This window comes from Homo sapiens, chromosome 22 (assembly GCF_000001405.40).
Source record: "Homo sapiens chromosome 22, GRCh38.p14 Primary Assembly".
In the NCBI taxonomy this organism is placed as follows: Eukaryota; Metazoa; Chordata; class Mammalia; order Primates; family Hominidae; genus Homo; species Homo sapiens.
Genome location: NC_000022.11, coordinates 22,247,319 through 22,272,309, shown reverse-complemented (window position 1 = coordinate 22,272,309; position 24,991 = coordinate 22,247,319). Strand labels below are relative to the sequence as shown.

Here is a 24,991-nt window from a genome sequence, read left to right as displayed (position 1 = left end):
GTTGCATATGTATACATGTGCCATGTTGGTGTGCTGCACCCATTAACTCATCATTTATATTAGGCATATCTCCTAATGCTATCCCTCCCCCCTCCCCCCACCCCACAACAGGCCCTGGTGTGTGATTTTCCCTTTCCTGTGTCCAAGTGTTCTCATTGTTCAATTCCCACCTATGAGTGAGAACATGCGGTGTTTGTTTTTTTGTCCTTGCCATAGTTTGCTGAGAATGATGGTTTCCAACTTCATCCGTGTCCCTACAAAGGACATGAACTCATCATTTTTTATGGATGCATAGTATTCTATGGTGTATATGTGCCACATTTTCTTCATCCAGTCTATCATTGTTGGACATTTGGGTTGGTTCCAAGTCTTTGCTATTGTGAATAGTGCCGCAATAAACATACGTGTGCATGTGTCTTTATAGCAGCACGATTTATAATCCTTTGGGTATATACCCAGTAGTGGGATGGCTGGGTCAAATGGTATTTCTAGTTCTAGATCCCTGAGGAATGGCCACACTGTCTTCCACAATGGTTGAACTAGTTTACAGTCCCACCAACAGTGTAAAAGTGTTCCTATTTCTCCACATCCTCTCTAGCACCTGTTGTTTCCTGACTTTTTAATGATCACCATTCTAACTGGTGTGAGATGGTATCTCATTGTGGTTTTGATTTGCATTTCTCTGATGGGTCTATTTCTTTAAAACAAAGTGAGGGGAGTCTCTCATTTACATTAGTTTTTTTCATAGCCTTTTGAACTTTGCAATTTCTATGTTTCAGAACCTATTTCTTACAGTTCTTCTATGCTAAACTCTGTCCTAGTCAGTTCTAGAGTGTATGAAGAACCAAATGATGTAATTGTATGCGACCTGGCTGTAGTGGAACAAATTTGACTCTAAAGTATGCAGGCTCTAATTTTCCTGTCTGGTTTTGGTAAGTATTCCTTACATAGGTTTTTTCTTTGAAAATCTGGGATTGAGAGGTTGATGAATGAAAATTAATCCTTTCACTTTTTTGTATATAGGTTTGCAATAATCAGGTCAGAGTGGAGTTTTAAGGTCATGGAGGGGTCTGATGACTTACAAATAATGGGCTCTGATTGGGCAACTACTCATCTGAGTTCCTTCCATTTGACCTAATTAAGCTTGTGAAATTTACACTAAGCCATGAGCTCATCTTTAAAAAGTTTTATTAAAAGATTTTCAGCTGTTCCAAATGGGACTTGTTAGTGGAATGTGTTTTAAAGGATCATATCAGATGAATGAAAGGTATTTGGTCCTTCGTTTCCTTAATAATAAAATGATGGTTTGGAAAAATAGGCTACAGTCTAACCACAGTGCTATTATTAGGCTTTCTTGTTAAACACAGGTCTAAGCCTAAGTATGTCAATACAACAAATACTTACTGTTTCATTTCTAGTAATGAAAAAAAAAACAAGTCTTTCTGGCATAAGGATGATTTTCATCTGGTTATTTTGAAACATTTTTGTAAAATAAATTTACATCTATAAAGAACATTTTTATTTGTAAGGAGGGGTATGTCTCTGTGCACTGGAAGAGAGGGAGGACTAAATCACTGGGAAGTCTTATGATAAAGAAGCCATTGGCTTAAATCAGCAAAGCAAGCCATCCCTTGGTTTAAGGTGTTTTTCCTGGCCATCCTGTCTTGACTAGAACTTTACCTACACCTTCCTTTTTGGTTTAGGCAAATTATAGTATCTAAAACTGAAGTCTCAGCTCTGTGTCTTTGAGATATAAATGTTCTACCATGTCTTCTCTGGAACCTGATAACTATCTATCTCTTTAAAATGAAAGTCTAGGAAGATGACTCATCAGAAAAAGAAGAAAAAAGAGGTATTTGGAAATTGTGCAAATTAAAGCAGCCCCTGATGCCAAAGTCTACACATTCCTGAGTGAGTCAGTTCTGGCCAGTTCTAGCTGGATCAAGAGAGCTCTGCTGGGCAGGCCTGAAGAGCACCTGGATGGCAGACACCTGAGGAGCCAGGTGCCTGAAACTTCCTCCACCTGCTTGAGGAGCGCCAAAGCCCAGGTGCTGGCTGGACAACCCCTTCTGGCTGCCTAAGCAGGTGGCAGAAGAAGGAAACAAGGTCAGAGGCAGAGTGTTGAACCCTGCCTCCCAGGTGGGTGGAAGATGCCTGTCGCCAAACTAGGTCCCAGCTTGCCGGGTGAGATGGGTGAACTGGTGATCCCCCGAGAGAGTGGACGTCAGAACTACATGTTTCCGGACTTCACCTTGGCCAGCGAAGGAGAGAGAGGGTTAATGTTAACTGCACGAGGCCCACTCTAGCCTTAAATTCTGTAATTCAAACCCTTCCCTTGGAGACAAAACAAACATGACAAGGAATTCTGAGGTCAGGGGACAAGAATCACAAGTTCCCTAGTGGGAGACTGAGGAGGCAGTGTCCTTCCTGCCCTTGGTCTACTGGCTAAGAACCTTCCTCAGCCTGACCTTTCCACATTGCACTTTCAGCTCTGTTTGCAATTGTCCTCCTTTAGTGCTGAGGGAATCCCAGTGTTCGATCCTGAAATCTATAGGTTCCTAATGGGTGGTTAAAAAAAACCTCAGCGAGAGAAGCAGAAAATGTTTCCTTTTCCTGAAAAACTGTAGAAAGGCAGGCACCATTCTGGGTGAGGACATGGTCCTTGCAAATGTCTTTGTGTTTTGTGTTTTTTTTTTTTTTTTTTTTTTTTGAGATGAAGTTTTGCTCTTGTTGCCCAGACTGGAGTGCAGTGGTGTGATCTCTGCTCATTGCAACCTCCACCTCCTGGGTTCAAGCAGTTCTCCTACCTCAGCCTCCTGAGTAGCTGGAATTACAGGCACCTGCCACCACACCTGGCTAATTTTTTGTATTTTTAGTAGAGATGGGGTTTTGCCATGTTGGTCTCGAACTCCTGACCTCAAGTGAGCCACCCGCTTCTGCCTCCCAAAGTGCTGGGATTACAGGAGTGAGCCACCGCGTCCAGCCTGCAAACATCTTTAAAGACAGCGTGTTTCAGAGGCTGTGACGGTGCCTTGTGAACATGCCAATTCTCGCAGTCCCGGGAGCTCTGAGGAGCAGGCCCAGCTCCTTGCCAGGCTGATGGTACTGAAACTCTGCTCTCCAAGACATAACCTGATGGCCGTGCAAGATTTCTTAATCGACTGTGGACCGTGAGAGTCTGCATCTCATTTTAATTAAGATGGGAAAAGAAAGAACAAAAGAGCAACTCCCAGGTTATAGAGAAACTGGATTTTAGTGTAATATTGAAGTGTAGCATTGCTAATAATAACAAACCTTTCCCCTGCCAAACGGTAAACACTTGCACTGCCTATTATACAAAAATTCAACCACCCTCTCTGTTCCCCCGATATCTCCTCCCCAGTGACCCCCCTCTCATGCGGCCTCATGAGCCTGGCCAGTGGTGAATGGCACTTTCATGGGCATGAGACTCCACGTGAGTGGGACTCAGCTGGGACCCCTCTCCCCGTGGGAGCTGGAGAAGCCACCCTAGTGCCAGCTCAAAGTGTCTGTGATGTCCCTGCTGCTGAGGTAGGGGCCGCCTCTGAGCTGGTCTTGGGGTGTGAGCTGCTGCTGGTAGTGGGCTCTGCCCTGAGGGCCTGGTGGCTGGTCAGAACGGCAGGCACACATGGGTGACTCCCTAGGAACTCAGCCCACCTCCCCACCACAGCCCTGCACTGTGTGCTCCAGGCATGTGCTGAGTGCCTGGTCAATCACCAGTACCCTATTGATCCCCGTCTCCAGAGAGATCATTTAGTGTCACTCCACAGAGGGGGAAACTGAGGCCCAGAGAAGTAAGGTGACTCTCCCCAGTCACAGGGCTGCTCAGCAGTAGGATGGGAGGCTAGTCCCTTGCTGTCTGACTCCCTGAGCCCACCCATATCCCAAGGCAGCCAACCTCTGCCCGCCCTGGTTCAGGCCCTGACTGGCCCCTGTGGTGGGTGATGTCTATCTTCCTGGACTTTATGCTCCCAGCCAACTGGGATGGAGCCTCCAGCTGGCATGACAGGTTGTAGCTATGGACAGAAGAGTGGCTGTGAGGCTGCCAGGAATCTCACCAGGGCCCCCTCCCAGGGCCTGTCCAGAGTGAGGTCTGGGTACCCCAGGCATTGCCAGACCACAGGATCTGATGTTGGCCAAGAGGCCATGGCCACAGGCTTTCTGAGGCTGGCCCCCAGGGAGAGTTCAATCCTACTATCCCAATTCCTGCCCTGGCCTTACCTCTCAGTCTCACCGAGCCGCTTCATGGTCCCAAACCAGGACCCAAAGTGCTGCTTGGGCTCAAGGTTGTAATTATTTGCAGCCAACTGGAGCAGCGGACCTCCTTGCTTACTTTGAATTCCTGGGTCCAGAGGGAAAAACTGGGTGGTGACAGGGACTGGACAGGGATGCCACAGGGGCCCTGTGGGGGTGTTAGATGGGGTGGTGGCCAGTCTTTGCTCATAGGGCACAACCTCCTCCTCTCCAGTCCTGTCTCCACCTGTTCTCAGAGCTGGCTCAAACGGCAGCTCCTCCAGGAAGGTGTCCTTGGTTTCAACCTGGTACTCCCACCTGCAGGTCTTCCTGGAGTGTCTCCTCTTTGTCTCTGTCTCCCCATAAATCTAAGATGAGGGGGATGGATTTGCCCACCGCTACTCACCATATGACTCTTGTGAGGTTGATCAGTCTCCCCTGGAAGGCCAACAGCTGAAGTCCATCAGAAAGGGTCCTCTGGCCCAGAGCCAGCCCCTGCCCACCCCTGTCATGCTGCACCCAGGGTGCAAGACCCAGATCAGGTCTGGGTGACAGGAGGGCTATAGAGGGGCTGAGACTCAGGGGCCTTCTAGCCTAACTTGTCTGGAGACATTTGGGGAAACTGAGACCCCAAGCAGGGAGGTATGGCTCCGAGAGATTATTCTCATTAATCTGGAACATTTTTGCAAGCTGTTAGGTATAGGAAGTCTGTCACAGGTAAGAGAAATGCTTTTTGAGAGCATGAGAGACAGCAGGGTTGTGACAATATTGAAACACCACCATGCAGATTCACCAATTGCCACCACCGGGAGCCCCCTGAGAGCCATTGCAGATGCACAGCCCTCCCCTGCAACCCCTGGACCTCCCCATGGTCTGGCACCTAAAGGGTTATGCCTTATGGCAGGAATCAGGGCCCTCAGGATGCCCTGCCCACTCCAAGGTCTGCCTCTGCTCTGATTGGTCACTGACATTCAGATAGTCACCCAAATATAAGGACGTTAGCAGAAAGACTCATTCAATACAAGTGGACTCAGACATAGATAGGAATTGGGTTGCAAAAAGCCCCTTTTGTTTCTTTTATTTTATTTTGGAAAAAACTTTTATTGTGAAAATTCACATGTATGTATAGAAAAAAATTCAATTAATGCAAAAGGATAGACAATGAACAAATGAATTCCCCTTCCACTCCAGATCCCCAACTCAGATCCAGACCTCCTGAGCCCACTTCCCCCATCTCATCACAGATCCAGACCTCCTGAGCCCACTTTCCCCATCTCATCACAGATCCAGACCTCCTGAGCCCACTTCCCCATCTCATCACCAGTGATTTCTTGGGCTCTGCATTAGTTTTCTATTGCTGCTGCAACAAACAGCTACAGACTCAGTGGCTTCCATTTCTGTCTTATAGTTCTGGTTGCCAAAAGTCCTAAGAGGATCTCACTGGGCTAAAGTCAAGGTGCTGGCAGGGCTATGTCCCTTCTGGAGGCTCAAGGGATGAATCGGGTCCCTGCCTTTTCTAGCTTCTAGGGGCTCCAGCTTCTAGGTTTGTGGCCTCCTTCCTCCATCCTCAAAGCCAGCAACAGCAGGTGAAGTCCTCGCCCATCGTGCATCACTCTCCCTTCTGCCTCCTTCAACATTTTTTTTTTATATTTAGGGGGAACGAGTACAGGATTCTTACATAGTCAAAAAGCTCCTTATAGAGAAGCTCGGAACTTTCAATACAGCTTTGCCTTTTTTGCCATTTTAATTTTCCATTTAATTTAAATGTATTCTCTCATTTGATCTTCATACTCTGTGGAGAAATATTTCTATTTCAGCTTGTATTGACAAGCTGTTTTCACACAGCCCCCGCATCACCCAACCAACCAGCCGAGATCCTCATTCCCATGAAACAGATAAAGAAACTGAGGCCCAGGGAGGCTAAGAGTCCTACCAGGATCATTCACCTTCCAAGGTAAGGAGCCCGTTCCAGACCTGGGTTTGTGCAGCTCCAAGCTCCCCCGTCTTTCTACAATGCTAGATTTAGACTATAGCAATCTAGCAAGTGTGGCCACACAATGGTCAAGTTGGATTTAGATGATGTTCTCTATAAATCCATTCTCCTCTCCCGTGTAAGCAAGGCAAAGTACTCCAGGCCATGGGGAGTCCCTGAAGACTCGATGAACTGCAGTGGCCACATCAGGAGGTTGCAGGTTAACCAGAACTCACCGACACAGCAGGAGAGCAGCTTGGAACCTGCAACCTAGCCAAAACCTAGTGCCTTGGATTGGGGGAGAAAACATGCAGCCATTCCTCTCTCTCTGCTGGCTAGAGGGGATTCTGGCTTTTCCTCCCAGAGCCACCCCTTTCCCTCCTCCTAAAGTTGATGGTGGTTCTTTAAGGAAAGGGAGAAGTGCACAGTGTGATAGGGCAGGAAGAGAAGGAAACGGAGGAGAGGAGGGGACTTTCCCATAAGCAGGCAGAAGAAAAGGCAGCTGTGTTGTGATGGACATGGATGCAGTGGTGTCCGATGTGGGGTCAGCCCTAGAGGAGAGACAGAGAGAGAGACAGAAAAGTGAGAGAGTCCTGACCCTTACGATTAACATGGGATCTGCCTGCAAATGCTGTTTAGGGCCATTGCCTCTTCCTGTACTGCTATTTTTGAGAGTGATGCTCCTGAGCCCCATGACCCAGTCAAATTTGATGTCCCCTCGAGCCAGATTCAGTGCTGGGAGTCCAGTGTGATCTGCCTGGATCTTGCTGCATTGAGAACAGGCCAGATCTTGACCCCAATACAGGGGCTGGATATGAACAGGCAATAGCTGGGTTTCTGAGTCAGAAAGACTTGGTTGATTGCTAATTGCTTAGGCGAGTAATTTAATTTTGTTGAGTCAGATTCCTCAGCTACAAAATGCAGATGACAGTACTTACTCCTCCAGGTTGTGGGGAAAATGGAGATTCTGAGCACGATGTCCATTTCACAGAAAGGTACCAATTTGGTGGCTTATTTTCCTTTCTACCTTCAGAAGTGGCTATCCCTGCCACCCAAACAGACCCTTGACTCTCAAGTGTACGGGGTCCCATTTACACAGGGGGAGAGCTTACAGCCTACGTTGAGTCTATACTTACCACTTAGTGAGCATGGTATCCGCTCAGGGGCCTCTGTGGGCATCCATCTCCTCTGCAGCATCTTTCCTCCCCACCGCTGGGCCTGCACATGACCCCCTCCTTGGGTTAGACCTCTGATCAGTGATGACCTTGGTATGCTGGTGATGGTCAGTCTTGGCACCAAATGAGACAGTTTATGTCATCAGCTATTCAATAAAACACTAATCTAGTTGTCACCGTGAAAGTATTTTGTGACATTGTTATGTACGTGTTGTTACAAATGTGCATGATGCATTTACTACAGCATAGAATTTTGCCTGGGTGCCAGCCTGAAGTCTGTCCGACAGATCATAGCCATGTTAGTCCCACAGTCACAGAGGCCAATGGATTAAATTATTTTATCTCCCTTGAGAACAAAAAATAAAATCCTAAGCCCCCCACCCGACTTAACAGACCCCCTGTTGGCCAACGGAACCTCAAATAAATCTTAAAATTCAGTTCTCGGCCATGACAGGACAGGAGGTCAGACATACCTCCCTGTACCTCCCTCCCTCTTATGGTTTAGACCCAACAACTGAGCAGCATTAATGTTAAAATAGAGATCATGAGACTGACAGAACAGACTCTTTGTGGCAATAAGACCTCAAATTATAAACAGGGCCTAGGGCCATGCCAGGCGAGGGTTAAGTCTTGTACCCTACTCTTAAAGAATTAACTAGATTCTAACTACCACATGGGTTTTATTTTTCTCTAGCAGCCAAGCAAGCACTGGCTGTGAGAGAAGCAAGATTAAAACAATTACAACTCACCCAGTTCACAGACGCTGAGTAACTGATCTCCTGCCCCACTAACCTTAACGACAGCTTTCTCTGGACAAGGGACTGATTTCAGTAACTTTCTCCTGATAAGAGACCATCCTCCATGGACTGGTTCTGGCCAGTTTTAGAGGCTGTGCCTTTACAGAGGCTGAGCCTTTACAGAGGCTGAGTACCTTTATGTCCCTGCTTCACTTTTTGATGTGTAGGGCCTAATTATAATACATTTAAATGTCAAGTCTCCACCCCAGAATGAACATGCATGTTTATTGAATATGCATGCGTTAGGACCTCTTTTATGAGTATTCTCATAAAATGATGTAGCTCCTCTGATATCCTATTGAGTATGTATATGTAGCCAACTCATTTGGCTCAAATTCCTGTCCTCTCCTTCCCTCCCTGGAAATGCCTGCCTCTGGCCTTGGCTGTAGGCCACACTTCCCAGCCTGTCATAATGGCCACCTTGCGGACTGCAAACCTTTATAAGAAATAAAGCTCTCTTTTCTAAATTTATAAAATTTTGTGATTTTTCAGTTGATGCTCTCTTTCTACACACATACACCCGCACACACACACACGCAATTTATACAGAAGGAAATCTGGAGAATATACGTGGGAATGGATATTAAGTGAGTGGCACCATGGTGGAAGTAACATAAAGTTGGATTCGGCTACATTTATTAATGTTGGCCCACTAAACAGAGATTCTGGACTCAGGGTTGTAAGTCAAAGCTTTAGAAAGGGCTCCAAGGGTTGGTTTGATCGGTTACTTGGTTGGTTGGTTGCTTGCTTGCTTGGTGCTTGCTTCCTTGCTTGGTTGTTTGGTTGGTTTGTTGCTTGCTTGTTGGTTGATTGGTTGGCTGTTTGCTTATTTGTTTGGTGACTTGGTTGGTTGGCTGAAACAGAATCAGAGTTTACCTAAGGTACATAAAGTTGAGATGCCACAACTTCCTTGGTTTATGTGTACAGAAAGGTATGCAAAAACTCACGGAGACTGGATTTATTATGTCAGACCTGCTCACTCACACTGGAGGGTCTACAGAACATACTCCTCACGACGATCATGAGAAAGAATATTGTGAGAGGAGCCCAGTATCCTGGAAGAGCTTTGAGCTTGTGCTCTCAGTAGGCAAAATGTTACAGCAGGAACTGCAGCCACTGGACTGGGATCTTTAAGTAAAATGAGGATAATTGAATCCTAGGGTGGCAGGGAACATGGGCTGTCCTTAATCACCGAAGATAAGGTGGGTGTGGTCACCACAGTGGAAAGCAGTGTCAAAGCAGCAGTCAGAATGGTTTGACTCACAGACACCCACGGCATTGTGTAATCCATGGTATCCACAGGGAGAGCTAATGGGCTGTACCAAAGTCTTAGTTGTTCTTTAAAAAATGAAGAATTCTAGGTCAACTGAATAAAAGACTAACTCAAATTAATGAAACACAGATCTAAAACCCTCAATCAATTCCCAGACTTGAGCCAGTTCACAGGCCCACAACCCCTTAAGTGAAGGGGAGGCTGGGTGATCTTGGGGAAGTACGCTGCTACATTGCCAAAAATTTACATTGTTTATCTTTTTCCCAGTCTTCCCCAAAGGGACCTACAGCCTTCTGCCAGGATGACTATGACTTAAAGAAAAGAAAATTCTCAGATATTTGGGGAATTACCAGACACTGGCTCTGATTTGACACTATTATCACTATGTTGCCTAGGATGGATTCATGCTCCTGGGTTCAAGCAGTCCTCCTACCTCAGCCTCCCAAAGTGCTGGGATTACAGACATGAGCCACTGTGGCCAGCAGAGCTTTGAAACTAGAACATGGAGGTCCAGTGGTAAATATTTGACAAGAGATTGGGCCAAGGCAATGTTGATGATTCTTTTTTTTTTTTTTTTTTTTTTTTTTTTGCAACAGAGTCTTGCTCTGTTGTCTAGGCTGGAGTGCAATGGCGCGATCTCGGCTCACTGCAACCTCTGCCTCCGGGGTCCAAGCAATTCTCCTGCCTCAGCCTCCTGAGTAGCTGGGATTACAGGTGCCGACCACCACACCAGGCTAATTTTTTATTTTTTTATTTTTTTTGAGACAGAGTCTCACTCTATATCACCCAGGCTGGAGTGCAGTGGTGCAATCTGGGCTCACTGCAAACCCTGCCTCTCAGGTTCACGCCATTCTCCTGCCTCAGCCTCACGAGTAGCTGGGACTGCAGGTGCCTGCCACCGTGCCTGGCTAATTTTTTGTATTTTTAGTAGAGACGGGGTTTCACCGTGTTAGCCAGGATGGTGTTGATCTCCTGACCTCATGATCCGCCCGCCTCGGCCTCCCAAAGTGCTGGGATTACAGGGATGAGCCACCATGCCCAGCCACACCAAGCTAATTTTTGTATTTTTTTTTTAGTTGAGACAGGGTTTCACCATGTTGGCCAGGCTGGTCCCTGACCTTGTGATCCGCCCGCCTCAGCTTCCCAAAGTGCTGAGATGACAGGCGTGAGCCACCGCGCCTGGCCAATGTTGATGATTCTAAACAGCAGCCGCTAATGTGAAAACCATCCAATTGGAAGCCCTGGCCTTGCCCAGAGGACACAGTCTGGGTGGTGGACAGAGACTTCGGCTGCCTTCCAAGGCAAGTAGCTCCTTGCTGCCCGCTTGCTGGGGATTTTACTTACAGGGCAGAAGCTGGCGGGTGATTTGGGGGCAGGAATTGCTTCCTGGATGGTATAGGATGAACCACACTCCCCAGGAAGGTACTCATCCTGGTGGCCTAACAGAAGCAGCCCTCACCCCAAAAGGCAATGCTGCTCCACTAGTTTTATGGGGTGACTCCTTCCTGTAGGTTCCTTCCAGCTTTACCAGAAACACAGAACATCTTTCCTGACAGGGCATTGGTTTTGTTTTTGAACAGGGAGATCCTTCTTTTAAAAAGTTAGTTTTTTCTTTTTTCTTTTTTCTTTTTTTGTAATGGAATCAACCTAGGTCCTAAGCCTAGCAGGTTATTATTATTATTTTTATGATTATTTTTTGAGATGGAGTCCCACTCTGTGGCCCAGGCTGGAGGGCAGTGGCATGATCTCGGCTCACTGCAATGTCCGCCTCTTGGGTTCAAGAGATTTTCCTGCCTCAACCTACAGAGGAGCCAGGATTACAGGCGTGCACCACCGTGCCTGTCTAATTTTTGTACTTTTAGTAGAGATAGAGTTTTGCCATGTTGGCCAGGCTGATCTCAAACTCCTGACCTCAGGTGATCCACCCACCTCAGCCTCCCAAAGTGCTGAGAATACAGGTGTGAGCTGCCACACCCAGCCACAGGTTGTTTTTGCTGATCTTCTCCCTCCTCCCACCCTCCACCCTCGAGAAAATGCCGTACATCTACACCATGGAATACTACACAACCCTGAAAAGGAACAAAATCATGTTTTTGGTGTTTTTTTTTTTTCAGCAACACGGATGTAGCTGGAGGCCATTATCTTTTTAAATTATTTTTATTATTTTTTATTTTTTCTATTCTACTTTAAGTTCTGGGGTATATGTGCAGAACATGCAGGGTTGTTACATAGATATACATGTGCCATAGCGGTTTGCTGCACCTATCAACCCATCATCTACATTAGATATTTCTCATAATGCTGTCCCTCCTCCAGTCCCCCCCTCCTGCAACAGGCCCCAGTGTGTGATGTTCCCCTCTCTGGGTCGATGTGTTCTCATTGTTCACTTCCCACTTATGAGTGAGAACATGCAGTGTTTGGTTTTCTGTTCCTGTGTCACTTTGCTGAACATGAGGGTTTCCAGCTTCATCCATGTCCCTGCAAAGGACATGAACTCATCCTTTTTCATGGCTGCATAGTATTCCACAGTGTCTATGTGCTACATTTTCTTTATCCAATCTATCACTGATGAGCATTTGGGTTGGTTCCACATCTTTGCTATTGTGAACAGTGTGGAGGCCATTATCTTAAGTAAATTAACAGAATGCTGCGTGTTCTCACTTATAAGTGGGAGCTAAATGTTGTGTATACGTAGACACAGAGAAGGGAAGAGATACTGGGGTCTAGTTAGGGGGAGAGAGGAAGGTAGAAGGACAAGAGTTGAAAAAACCAACTGTGGGGTATTATGCTCACTACTTGGGTGATGGGATCACTCATACCCCAGACCTCAGCATCACACATCGTACCCATGTAAGAAACCTGTACATGTACCTCCTGAATCTAAACTGCTCCACCATTTGCGCCAGCAATTCCAAGACTGGGCATCTACCCAAAGGAAAAGAAGTCATTCTACCAAAAAGATACATGCATGGTAAACTTCCTTTTTTTTTTTTTTTTTGTTTGTTTTTGTTTTTTGAGACGGAGTCTCGCTCTATTGCCCATGCTGGAGTGCAGTCGCAATCTCGGCTCACTGCAACCTCCGCCTCCTGGTTCAAGTGATTCTCCTGCCTCAGCCTCCTGAGCAGCTGGGATTACAGGCATGCGCCACCATGCCTGGCTAATTTTTGTATTTTTAGTAGAGATGGGGTTTCACCATGTTGACCAGGCTGGTCTCGAACTCCTGACCTCAGGTGATCTGCCCACCTCGGCCCTCCAGAGTGCTGGGATTACAGTGCCCAGCCCTGTAAGGTTCATCACAGCACGACTTACAATAGGAAAGTCATGGAATCAACCTAGTTGCCCATCAGTGGGGTACCGGATAAAGCAAAAGTGGTTCTTCTACAGCATCGAATACTACACAGCCATGAAAAAGAATAAAATCATGTCCTTTGCAGCCACATGGATGTAGCTGGAGGGCATTATGCTTAATGAATTAACACAAGAACAGAAAATCAAATACCACATGTTCTTGACTGGATAAAGCAATTGTGGCCCTTCTATGCCATGGAATACTGCACAGCCATGAAAAAGAATAAAATCACATCTTTGCAGCCACATGGACACAGCTGAAGGGAATTATGCTTAGTGAATTAACGCCAGGAAAAGAAAATCGAATACCACATGTTCTCCACTAGATAAAGCAAATGTGGTCTTTCTGCATCATGGAATACTACACAGCCATGAAAAAGAATAATATCATGTCCTTTGCAGCCACATGGATGCAGCTGAAGGACATTATGCGTAGTGAATTAATGCCAGGAACAGAAAATGAAATACTACATGTTCTCAACTGGATAAAGCAAATGTGGCCCTCCTACACCACGGAATACTACACAGTGATGAAAAAAATAAAATCATGTCTTTGCAGCCACATGGATGCAGCCAGAGGGCATTATGCTTAGTGAATCAATACAAGGAACAGAAAATCAAATACTGCATGTTCTCCACTAGATAAAGCAAATGTGGTCCTTCCACATCATGGAATACTACACAGCCATGAACAAGAATAAAATCACGCCCTTTGCATCAACATGGATGAAGCCGAAGGGCATTATGTTTAGAGAATTAATGCCAGAAACAGAAAATCAAATACCACATGTTCTCAATTAGATAAAGCAAATGTGGTCCTTCCGCATCATGGAATACTACAGAGCCATGAACAAGAATAAAATCATGCCCTTTGCATCAACATGGATGAAGCCAAAGGGCACTATGCTTAGTGAATTAATGCCAGGAACAGAAAATCAAATACCACATGTTCTCGCTTATAGGTGGGAGCTAAACATTGCCTGCACCTGGACACAATGAAGGGGCACCACAGACCCTCAGGACTAATAGAGCAGGAAGCAGGGGCGGGGGTACAAGGGTTGAAAAACTACCCTGAGGTTCTTTGAATTTCCGGCAGAAGGCAGCAACTGGAGAGAGCTTTGGGTCACGGATTTTTCTGTTGCATTTTCTTGCTTGTTTGTTTTCTCTCTCGCTCTCTTTTTTTTTTTTTTTTTTTTTTTTTTTTTTTTTTTGAGATGGAGTCTCGCTCTGTGACCCAGGCTGGAGTGCGGTGGTGCAGTCTCGGCTCCCTGCAACTTCTGCCTCCTGGATTCAAGCAATTCTTCTACCTCAGCCTCCCAAGTAGCTGGGACTACAGGCACTTGCCACCACGCCTGGCTAATTTTTGTATTTTTAGCAGAGACGGGGTTTCACCATGTTGGCCAGGCTGGTCTCGAACTCCTGACCTCAGGTGATCTGTCTGCCTCGGCCTCCCAAAGTGTTAGGATTACAGGCATGAGCCACTGCGCCTGGCCCTCTTCTTATATATTTCTAGAACTCCTCTAGAATTTGGGGTTTGTTTTTCTTAATTACGAGGAATCAAGTTGAATCATTAGTGCATATATAAATATACATTTTATTTTTAGTACACATTATATACCTCAGGAATGTACAATGCTCAGTGCCTGGGTGACGGGATGATTCATACCCCAAACCTCAGCATCATACAATATCCCCAGGTCACAAAGCTGCCCGTGGATCCCCTGAATCTATAATAATAATAATAAATAAAAAGTGACTTTGTCATTCGCAGGGAAATGCAAATGACATTCACTCTGCCTCTCAGGCCCTTGGATTCCCAAAGTTTATTTTCATCGCGCCCAGGGGACACTCAGAATCTCGTTTTCAGAACACGGGTTGTTTTTCTTAGAAGCGCTTTGCAAAACAAAATAGGAAGCAAAATCTTTCTCACTCCTTCCACTCCGTAATAGACAAAATAAAATGAGGGGGCAGGAATCCAGAGACTTTGACCGCAGTTGGCAGATTTATTGTGGTACAGACATGAAGGCAAGCAGTGTTCTCTCTGATTCTACGAACCGTACAGCCCGGGCCGGCTGCCTTCTGCTTTCTGGATGGTGCAGGCGTGAGCTCCAAGCCCAAATTTCACCGGAGCTCCAGGAATCGAGCCTGGCCCAGGCACTAACTGCACGGGGGCCAAGCGTGAAACCAGTGATCGCTCCAGCAAGGTAACGGGACAGCTTGGTGATCCTTCTTGCCGGCTACAAAAGGTTATAGCCAGAATTCCACCGAATGTGGTCTTTCTGTGTCTCTCCCCAGACAGCGAAGCTGGACAAACCTGGGGGTGGGGGGTGGGGGGTGCTGACCTCAGTGGGGTGTCCTAGAGAGGGAGGAACCAGGGTTTACAGGGTGCAGATCCTACTGAAGCAAATGGACGTGGCATCCGCGGGCAGAGCTGGCTGTGGCGTCCCCCCTCTGCCTGCGGTGTCACCAAATGTACCCAGAGACCGCTTGTAAACCTGGAGGGTGTGTTAACGTCAGTGGGGTGTCCTGGAGAGGCAGGAACCTGGGTTTCCAAGGTGCAGATCCTACTGAAGCAAATGGACGTGACATCCGTGGGCAGAGCTGGCTGTGGCGTCCCCCCTTCTGCCTGGGGTGTCACCACATTTCACCGAGAGACCCCTTCTAAACCTGGGGAGTGTGCTTACCTTAATGGGGTGTCCTGGAGAGGCAGGAACCAGGGTTTACAGGATGCAGATCCTACTGAAGCAACTGGACGTGGCATCCATGGGCAGAGCTGGCTGTGGCTGGCCTTCCAGCCTGGATGTCCCCCCCACTGCCTGGGGTGTCACCAAATGCACCCAGAGACCCCTTCTAAACCTTGGGGGATGTGCTGACCTCAGTGGGGTTTCCTGGAGAGGCAGGAACCTGGGTTTCCAGGGTGCATATCCTACTGAAGCAAATGGACGTGGCATCCTTGGGCAGAGCTGGCTGTGGCTGGCCTTCCAGCCTGGACGTCTCCCCCACTGCCTGGGGTGTCACCAAATGCACCCAGAGACCTCTCATCCGAAAGCCCATTCATGGGAAGCCTCCAGGTCTCCTCGGCAGGCAGCATCACGTCTGATCTAACTGCGTTATCAGGTAATGCAGGCCTGTTCTACCTATGTGCGTGAGCGCGTGGGTGCCGTGTGGGAGTGTGTGTGTTGATGTGGGTGTGGGTGTGTGCTTGTGTGGCTGTGTGTGTGTGTGCCTGTTTATGTGATGATGAGTGTGTCTGTGAATCTGTAAGATAACGTGTGTTTCCATGCGTGTTTCTGTGTGAGCGTGCATTCCTGTGTTTTATGGAAGTGTGTTTTTGTGATGGTGTTTGTGTGTGCCCCTGCGTTTATCGTATTTGTGTGTTTGTGAATATGAGTGTATGTCTGTGAATCTGTATGGCAATGTATAAATTCTTTTTTTTTTTGTTTTTTTGAGATGGAGTCTCGCTCTGTCACCCATACTGGAGTGCAAAGGCACAATCTCAGCTCAAAGCAACCTCCGCCTCCCAGGTTCAAAAGATTCTTCTGCCTCAGCCTCCTGAGTAACTGGGATTACAGGCACCCACCACCACATCTGGCTAATTTTTCTTTTTTGATACGGAGTCTCGCTCTGTCGCCCAGGCTGGAGTGCAGTGGCGTGATCTTGGCTCACTGCAACCTCTGCCTCCCGGGTTCAAATGATTCTCCTGCCTCAGCCTCCTGAGTAGCTGGGATTACAGGTATACGCCACCACATCTGGCTAATTTTTGTATTTTTGAGTAGAGACGGGGTTTCACCATGTTGGCCAGGCTGGTCTGGAACTCCCGACCTCAAGTTATCTGCCCGCCTCGGCCTCCCAAAGTTCTGGGAGTACAGGCGTGAGCCACCTTGCCCGGCCCCAGTGTGTGAATTTTTATGTTTGTGTGTCCACATGATTATGTGAGTCTTTTTGTGACTGTGTTTGCATGAGTGTGTGACTGTATTTGTGTGTTTGTGTGTGCTTGTGTGATTCTGAGTGTGTGTATGAGTGCGTGTGACATATGTGAGTGTCTATGTGGGTGAGTAGCCATCCATGTGTTTATATGAGAGTGTTTTCATGATTCTGTTTATGAGTGTCTTTGTATGTATACGTGTTTGTGTGCTTTGTGAGCATGTCAATGTGCATGTGCACCCACGTGTGCAAAAAAACCCACACATTTTTGTAATTGTGTTTGTGTGTGTGTCCCTGCGTTTGTGTGAGTGTGCATGTCTTTGTGTGTCCATGTGTTTCTATGAGTTTGTTTTGTGCTTCTGTCTGTCTTGGTGTTGATGTGTGTTTGTGTAAGTGTGTGGTTGCATTTGTGTCAGTGATTCTGGAGCAGGTGAGCTGATCACAAGCCTGAGCCGAGAATCCACGGAGCTCATTTACAACAGAAGCCGGGACCCTGTGCAAATCCTTCTAAAATATCCCCGGTTTACAGAGCTCCTAGGGGTGGGGAAGAAAAATTCCCTGACATTTCGGCCTCAGAGAAAGAGAGAGACACCCCACTGGCCTCTGCTGTTTCTCAGAAAACAGGTGGGGCATCACTCTTTCCCAAGTGACGGTGATTTTGAGAACGGTTCACCTTTTGAAGAGACGTTTCTGCCCTGGCGATCCATACATATTGAACCCAAATGAATATTTTTTAATTAAAAATTTTTGTATAAATATACATTGTGTATACTTTATATTAATATATTGATATAAATAAATATATTTTATTATAAACATATGATTTTTATAGTTCATATAAATAAAGTTATATATAGTTTATATGTAAAATATACTTTTATTTGTAATACATAATTTTATAGATTAAATTTTATATACTAAGCAAAGTTATATGTGATATATACATGCCATATAACATCATTTATATAATATATAACTTTATGTAAATAAGTATATAATAAAATTGATCTTATTATATTTGTTAATACATAATGATGTGTATATACTATGTAAAAATAAAATTATATATTGTATGTGTGTAATTATATTTCTATAAATACACGCTTATGTGTGTATTTATACATGAATGCCTGTGTTTGTGTGAGTACATCAGTGAGTGCGTGAATGTGTGTGTGTGCCTGTGTTTGTGTGAGTGTAAGAGTGTTGTACATTTATACACACACATTTTGTTTCCTGGTTAATAACAAGATCTGTCTTTGATTTAGGATATGAAGAATTCTTATAAGCAACCCTCCCACACAAAATTTGTATTTATTTTAAAATATTCTTAAAATATGGGTTCTTTTATTTTTGCACAAACAGACAAGAGTGTTTTTTCTTTCCAAAACTTTTATTTCAAATTCTGACCCTGAGGAGCAGAAAAAAACATTGTGTAACCTTATATACATTAGACACATAAGTAGTTACTAAATGCAATACAGATTTTGACAACATGCATCTAGGAAAAATGAGGAATTCAAACTCGTAGCTGCCTCAATATTGAACTTTCTAATGTTTAATTTTTTTTAATTAAAAAATATTCGTTTGGGTTCAATATGTATGGATCTCCAGGGCAGAAATGTCTCTCCAAAAAGTGAACCACTCTGAAAATCACCGTCATTTGGGAAAGAGTGATGCCCCAGCTGTCTTCTGAAAAATAGCAGAGGCTTCCGGCCAGTGGGGTCTCTCTCTCTTTCCCTGAGGCCGAAATGTCAGGGAATTTTTCTTCCCCACCCCTAAGAGCCCAGTAAACGGGGGATATTTCAGAAGGATTTGCACAGGGTCCCGGCTTCTGCTATTTATGAGCTCCATGGATTCTTGGCTCAGGCTTGTGATCAGCTCACCTGCTCCAGAATCACTTCCCGTCTTAGCTTCTGGGCTAAGACACCTCAAAACCAGCAAAGGAAAGTCCTCACTGGTCAACGCGTCCATCCCAACTCCCCCATCTCCCCTTAGGGTGGGTTTGGGGTTCGGGACTGCTTTACTGTTCCTTTCAAAGCAGACTGGGAGGTAAGATTTTATTCTGCTTCCAGAGGTTCAGGATTTCTGCAGACGGTCAGCAACTCTTTGCATCCTACTGGTAAAAGTTTTATATACTTTGTATTTATATAAATATGCATTGTGTATATTTTATATGAATAGATTGATATAAATATATTTTATTAACTTAACCATATGACTTTTATATTTTTATATAAAGTTATATGTAGTGTATATGTAAAATACACTTTTATTTGTAATACATAATTTTATAGATTAAATTTAATATATTAAGCAAAAATATATGTAACATATAACATATAACATCATTTATATAATATATAACTTAATGTAAATAAGTATATAAAATTGATATTATATTTGTTAATACATAATTATGTATATATACTATGTAAAAATAAAATTACATATTGTATATGCATAATTATATTTCTATCAATACAATTATATACTATATATAATTATGTATAAAATAATTGTATAATAAAATTATATAATAAATTTTGAAATGTTATAAATTATTATACATAGTATTTTATTGTATTAAATTTAGAAATGTGTTATATGTAATAAAATTTTATTATAATAAACGTAGATTATATAAAATTTTATTTACAATAAATTACCTTATGTATAATTATAATATGAGAAAATAATTATATATCATTGTATTATAATAAGTTTAGAAATGTTATACACTATTATATATAAAATTTCATTATATTAAATTTAGAAATATATGTAGTAAAATGGTATTATATTAAAATTTTTATGTAACATTTTATTATACATGTATAATTTTATATAATGTTTTATAATATATAGAATATAAGTACACAGAATGTAAGTACAAAAATATTTATATACAGCTACACGTAATGTAAATACATCAGTGTAAGATGTTTTGTGTGTGTGAGATGGAGTCTCACTCTGTTGCCCAGGCTGGAGTGCAGCGACACGATCTTGGCTCACTGCAACGTCTGCCTCCTGGGTTCAAGCGATTCTCCTGCCTCAGCCTCCCGAGTAGCTGGGATTACAGGCATGCACCACCACACCCAATCAATTTTTGTATTTTTAGTAGAGATGCAGTTTCACTGTGTTAGCCAGGATGGTCTCAAACTCCTGACCTCAGGTGATCCACCTGCCTTGGCCTCCCAAAGTGCTGGGATTACAGGCATGAGCCACAGTGTAAGATACTAGCTATTAAAAAATAAATATATATATATATATTGCAACAGCTGATTTGTCTGGAAGAGTTTGGTCAGAAGACAGTGTATTAAGAAGACTGTGAGTCCCCAGAGGAATATAAGAATATACATCATGTTGATATATTATATATAACATAAATAGCTAACTACATCTGTATATATAGTATAAACAAAAGTACAAAAATATTTGTATATAACTATATGTAATATAAATACATCAGTGTAAGATATTAGCTATTAAAAATATATATATAGCAACCAGTGATTTGTCTGGAATATTCTGGTCAGAAGACAGTGTATTAAGAAGACAGTGAGTCCCCAGAAGAATATAAGAATATACATCATGTTAATATATTATATATAACATAAATACCTAACGACATCTGTATATATAGTATAAACATAAAGTACAAAAATATTAGTATATAACTATATGTAATATAAATATATCAGTGTAAGATATTAGCTATTAAAATATACATATGTGTGTATGTATGTGTATATGTGTATATAAATATTATATATATATATAGTAACAGCTGATTTGTGTGGAAGACATTGGTCAGAAGACAGTGTATTAAGAAGACAGTGGGTCCTCACAGGAAAATAAGAATATACATCATGTTTATATTACATATAACATAAACAACTAATTACATCTGTATATATAGCATAAACATAAAGTACAAAAATATTTGTATATAATCATATGTAATATAAATATACCAGTGTAAGATATTAGCTATTAAAATATACATGAGTGTATGTATGTGTATATATAATATATATACATATATAACATATATAATATATAAGATATAGCATAATAATATAATATATTATATATAATATGTAATATATAATGTATATTATATATAATATGTAATATATAATGTATATTATATAATTAATATATAATATATTCTATGCAATAAAATATATAGCACATATATATATAGCACATATATATATATATATATATATATATAGCAACAGCTGATTTGTCTGGAAGAATTTGGTCAGAAGACAGTGTATTAAGAAGACAGTGAGTCCCCAGAGAAATATAAGAATCTACATCATGTTTATATTATATATAACATAAATAGCTAACTAACTACATCTGTAATATAGCCTAAACATAAAGTACAAAAATATTTATATATAATATAAATATATCAGTGTAAGATATTAGCTATTAAAAAAATATACATATATATAGCAACCAGTGATTTGTCTGGAAGACTCTGGTCAGAAGACAGTGTATTAGGAAGACAGGCAGTCCCTGCAGGAAGCATGGTGCAGGTGGGATCTGGAGGTGACTCTGGGCTGCCAGAAGACGCCCCACTGCTTTGCGGCAGACACAGGTGGAGAGGCCCTCTCTGTAGCTTCAGCGTAGACACTGTGTGTGTCTTGTTGTGGGGACACTTCTTTCTGCTTCCCTCTCCACTGTGACCCCGTCACACTCACTGACCTGCCCTCCTCCTTCCTCTCGCTCTCCGGGGCCCCTGTGGAAAGAGGGTCTTCCCTCCATGCAGCAGGAACCCCCTGGACCCTCCCCATGCTCCTGGGTTCTGAACCTCAGGGACATGCGATCCTACCTGACCGGGCACAGGCTCTGTTCACCCTCAGGAACCCCTGTCCTCCCAGGCCACTGTGGACTGGAGAACTGGCCTCCTGAAAATCCAGAGAGAACTTAGCACTCACAACTTCTTTTTCTTTTTTCTTTGAGATGGGATCTTGCTCTGTCCCCCAGGCTGGAGTACAATGGCGTGATCTCAGCTCACTGCAACCTCCTCCTCCCAGGTTCAAGCAGTTCGTCCTGCCTCTGCCTCCCGAGTATCTGGGATCACAGGCATCGACCCCCACAGCCAACTAATTTCTGTATTTTTAGTAGAGACGGGGATTCACCATGTTGGCCAGGCTGGTCTCGAACTCTTGACCTCAAGTGATCCACCCGCCTCGGCCTCCCAAAGTACTGGGATGACATATATTAGCATGATGTATATTCTTCTATCCCTCCAGGGACTCACTGTCTTCTTGGGCAGTGAACCACCGTGCCAGGACTTCTCTGTCCACATCTACACACATCTAAACCTCTGTAGATTCTGAATTGTTTTTCCTTTTGCACAGAATGAGAGGAACTAAAGTCGAGAGGCCCAGCCCCAACACGGTCCCTGTGGCTCTGTGCTCAGGCGGTTTATGGCTGAGAAGGACTTGGGGGGTTGAGGGCTTCCTATCAGCCCAGGAGACATTATCCGGGTCTGGGAAGCCTGCTCTGCACTTGTGGGTCTCGAATTGTCTGTTGCATTTACCTGCCTCATTATTTTTTCTTCCTGTCTCTCTTCTTACATATTTCTCTCGAATTTGGAGCTTGTTTTTCTTAACTACAATCAACCTGAATCATTACTGCATATATAAATATAAATTTTATATTGAATAGACATTATATACTCAATCTATTACACATTCCAACACAGGCCATATCTAAGATGTATATTTATATTTAATGTTTAAAATATGTTTACATTTCATATGGAAAAATATATTTATATTTAACATATATAAACCCTGGTCTTGGGTTCAACAAAGAGCCAGAAGGCAGCAGAGCAGGCCAGCAGGGCTGGAGGCTGGTCTCAGAGATATGGAGGAGGAAGGGAGTGAGAGACACTCAAAAGGAAGAACCCACAGGGTGACTGTGGCCCTGGTCAGAAGGCAAGGGAGGGATAGGGATGAGGCCGAAAGTTGTAGTTTGGTTGATCAAGTGGATTTTCTCATCACTGTCATGCAGTAAGGGTGTGGGGGAGAGAGAGAATCGGAAAGGAGAGGAAATGTGGCCAGTCACTAATATGATCGAGAAGGTCTGGGCTGGTTCTCCCTTCTTAGGGAATCACAATTCTCTAAGGTGGTGACCCCAGCCACCTAATGGGATCCCAGAATGTCAGGGTCCTTGGAACCCGAAAATTCATTCAGTTACACATTCATTCATTTGTTCATTCAACTGTCTAATTGCCAAGTGTTTATCAGGCACATCAATGGGTTGAGTAGATCCTGCCCACTGAGAATCTGCAGATTAGTAGGGGAGGGAGCTTTGCTAAATAAATTTATAACTGTGCAGTAGAAGCTAAATATAGTTAGGAAAACATGCTGTTTGCACAGTGGAGGAAGTTAATAACTGCATGAAGAGCTCGGGGAAGTCTTGCCCAAGGAGTGAGATTTGAGACAGTTGTGGAGCCCCGAGTCAGTGCAGCCAGATGGAGGCCACAACAAAGGGACAGGAAGTCCTGGCAGTAAACAGCTTGGGCAAAGGTTTAGAAGCAACCAAGAGACTCGGGTGTTTGATCAGTTGCAGTTGGCTTAACATGGCAGAAACAGGGAGAGAGGGTGCACAAGAAATGGGACTTGGGACCAAGCCTGAGCCAGCCTTCAAAGGCTGTGTCATGGGAAGGAGGCTGAATTGCATCCCCTCAACCAAAGTGGTCTCTTCACAAGGCATATGTAGCTCTTGACCACTTGGCTGACCAGATTATCCACTTGAGCAAATTATCCAAGACATGAATATAAAATACATACCAGATTTTGAAGTGTGAATACAAAAGAAAAACAAGTTTAAACTATCTAGTAACTAATTTTTATATTGATTATAGGTTGAATTGGTAATATTGGGGATTTATTATGTTAAATAGAATATATCATTAAAAAATCATTTCACCTATTTGTTTTTACTGTTTAAAAATAATGTAGCCACTAGAAAATTGGAAATTACAGATGTGGCTTGCATATGTTCTTTAGAGTGTGGGAGACAATAAAGGGTTAGAGAGGAGGAATGCATGCAAGGCTGGATCTAGGAGCAACAAAGATGAGGAGTGGTGGGTATAGACTGCATGCAGCAGGAGGATGGATGGGAAGGAGACCAGATAATGGTCAAGGTGAGAAATGACTCAGACTAAAGGAAAGGATTTGACAAGAGGGAAGGCCAGGCAGGTGACTGATGGGGAAATCATGATACTATTATTTTGTTGAGCACTCATGATGGATAAAACCTTTTTGTTTGTTTGTTTGTTTGTTTTTGAGAGACAGTCTTGCTCTGTCACCCAGGCTGGAGTGATGTGGTGCGATTTCGGTTCACTACAACCTCCGCCTCCCAGGTTCAAGCAATTCTTCTGCCTTAGCCTCCCAAGTAGCTGGGATCAGAGGCACCCGCCACCATGCCCAGCTAATTTTTGTATTTTTGGTAGAGACGGGGTTTCACCATGTTGCCCAGGATGGCCTCAAACTCCTGACCTTAGGTGATCTGCCCGCCTCGGCCTCCCAAAGTGCTGGGATTACAGGCATGAGCCACCACGCCTGGCCAGATAAAAACTTTTTATATAAGTTAATCAGTTCTATGATTATCCCCTTTACATGCAACATTGGAAATGTTGGCTTAGATTTTAAGTGACTCCTCCAGAGCTAAGACTCACACTCAGTCTGGCCTCAAGCCTGAGTTCCAGGTCTCATTTTCCATTGAGCTGGTGGGGTGGGGGCATGAGGATGATACAGGAGTCCAACTCAGCTCCCGGCTTTCTAGATCTCTTCTCATAGCATGGAATCCCAGAATCATGAAGGATGGAGGCAAGAGAGGGACGGGTTACAAGCAGAAGACAGAGTTCCTCTGGAACCATCTAGCTGGTCTTTAAAACTGTGGGCCATGGCCAGGTGCAGTGACTCACACGTGTAGTTCAGCCACTCAGCAGGCTGAGACAGGAGGATCGCTGGAGCCCAGGAGTTCAAGGCTGTAGAGCATCATGAATTGAACCTGTGAATAGCCACAGCAGTCCAGCCTGGGCAGCATAGCAAGATCCTATCTCTAAAATAAAATAATAAACAAGTAAATAATAATGTTTTAAAATGTGGGCCTGGCCCAGGGGTAAAAGCCTGATGCAGGAAGAACCCAGTGCATAGAGTATGGCATAAGCTGAGATCACTGTCTCTTTTTTTTTTTTTTTTTTTTTTTGTGAGATGGA

The 24,991-nt window shown here is 43.9% G+C and overlaps 1 long non-coding RNA gene and 1 further gene across 1 annotated transcript, besides 1 other annotated feature; one reads left to right on the top strand and one right to left on the bottom strand.

Moving 5' to 3' along the window:
• Nucleotides 1–24,991, bottom strand: part of IGL (immunoglobulin lambda locus) — an 896,838-nt gene that overhangs the window by 650,604 nt on the left and 221,243 nt on the right.
• On the top strand, nucleotides 648–8,666 carry LOC124905087 (uncharacterized). The gene is made up of 2 exons (XR_007068018.1): nucleotides 648–932; nucleotides 1,814–8,666. It is a non-coding gene; the product is annotated as an uncharacterized LOC124905087 (long non-coding RNA).
• Nucleotides 17,129–17,423: a silencer, noted in NCBI's record as "tiled region #5890; K562 Repressive DNase matched - State 25:Art". NCBI's record gives its function as "represses a minimal TATA promoter and a strong SV40 promoter by Sharpr-MPRA in K562 cells {active_cell/tissue: K562}" and the evidence as "EXISTENCE:reporter gene assay evidence [ECO:0000049][PMID:27701403]".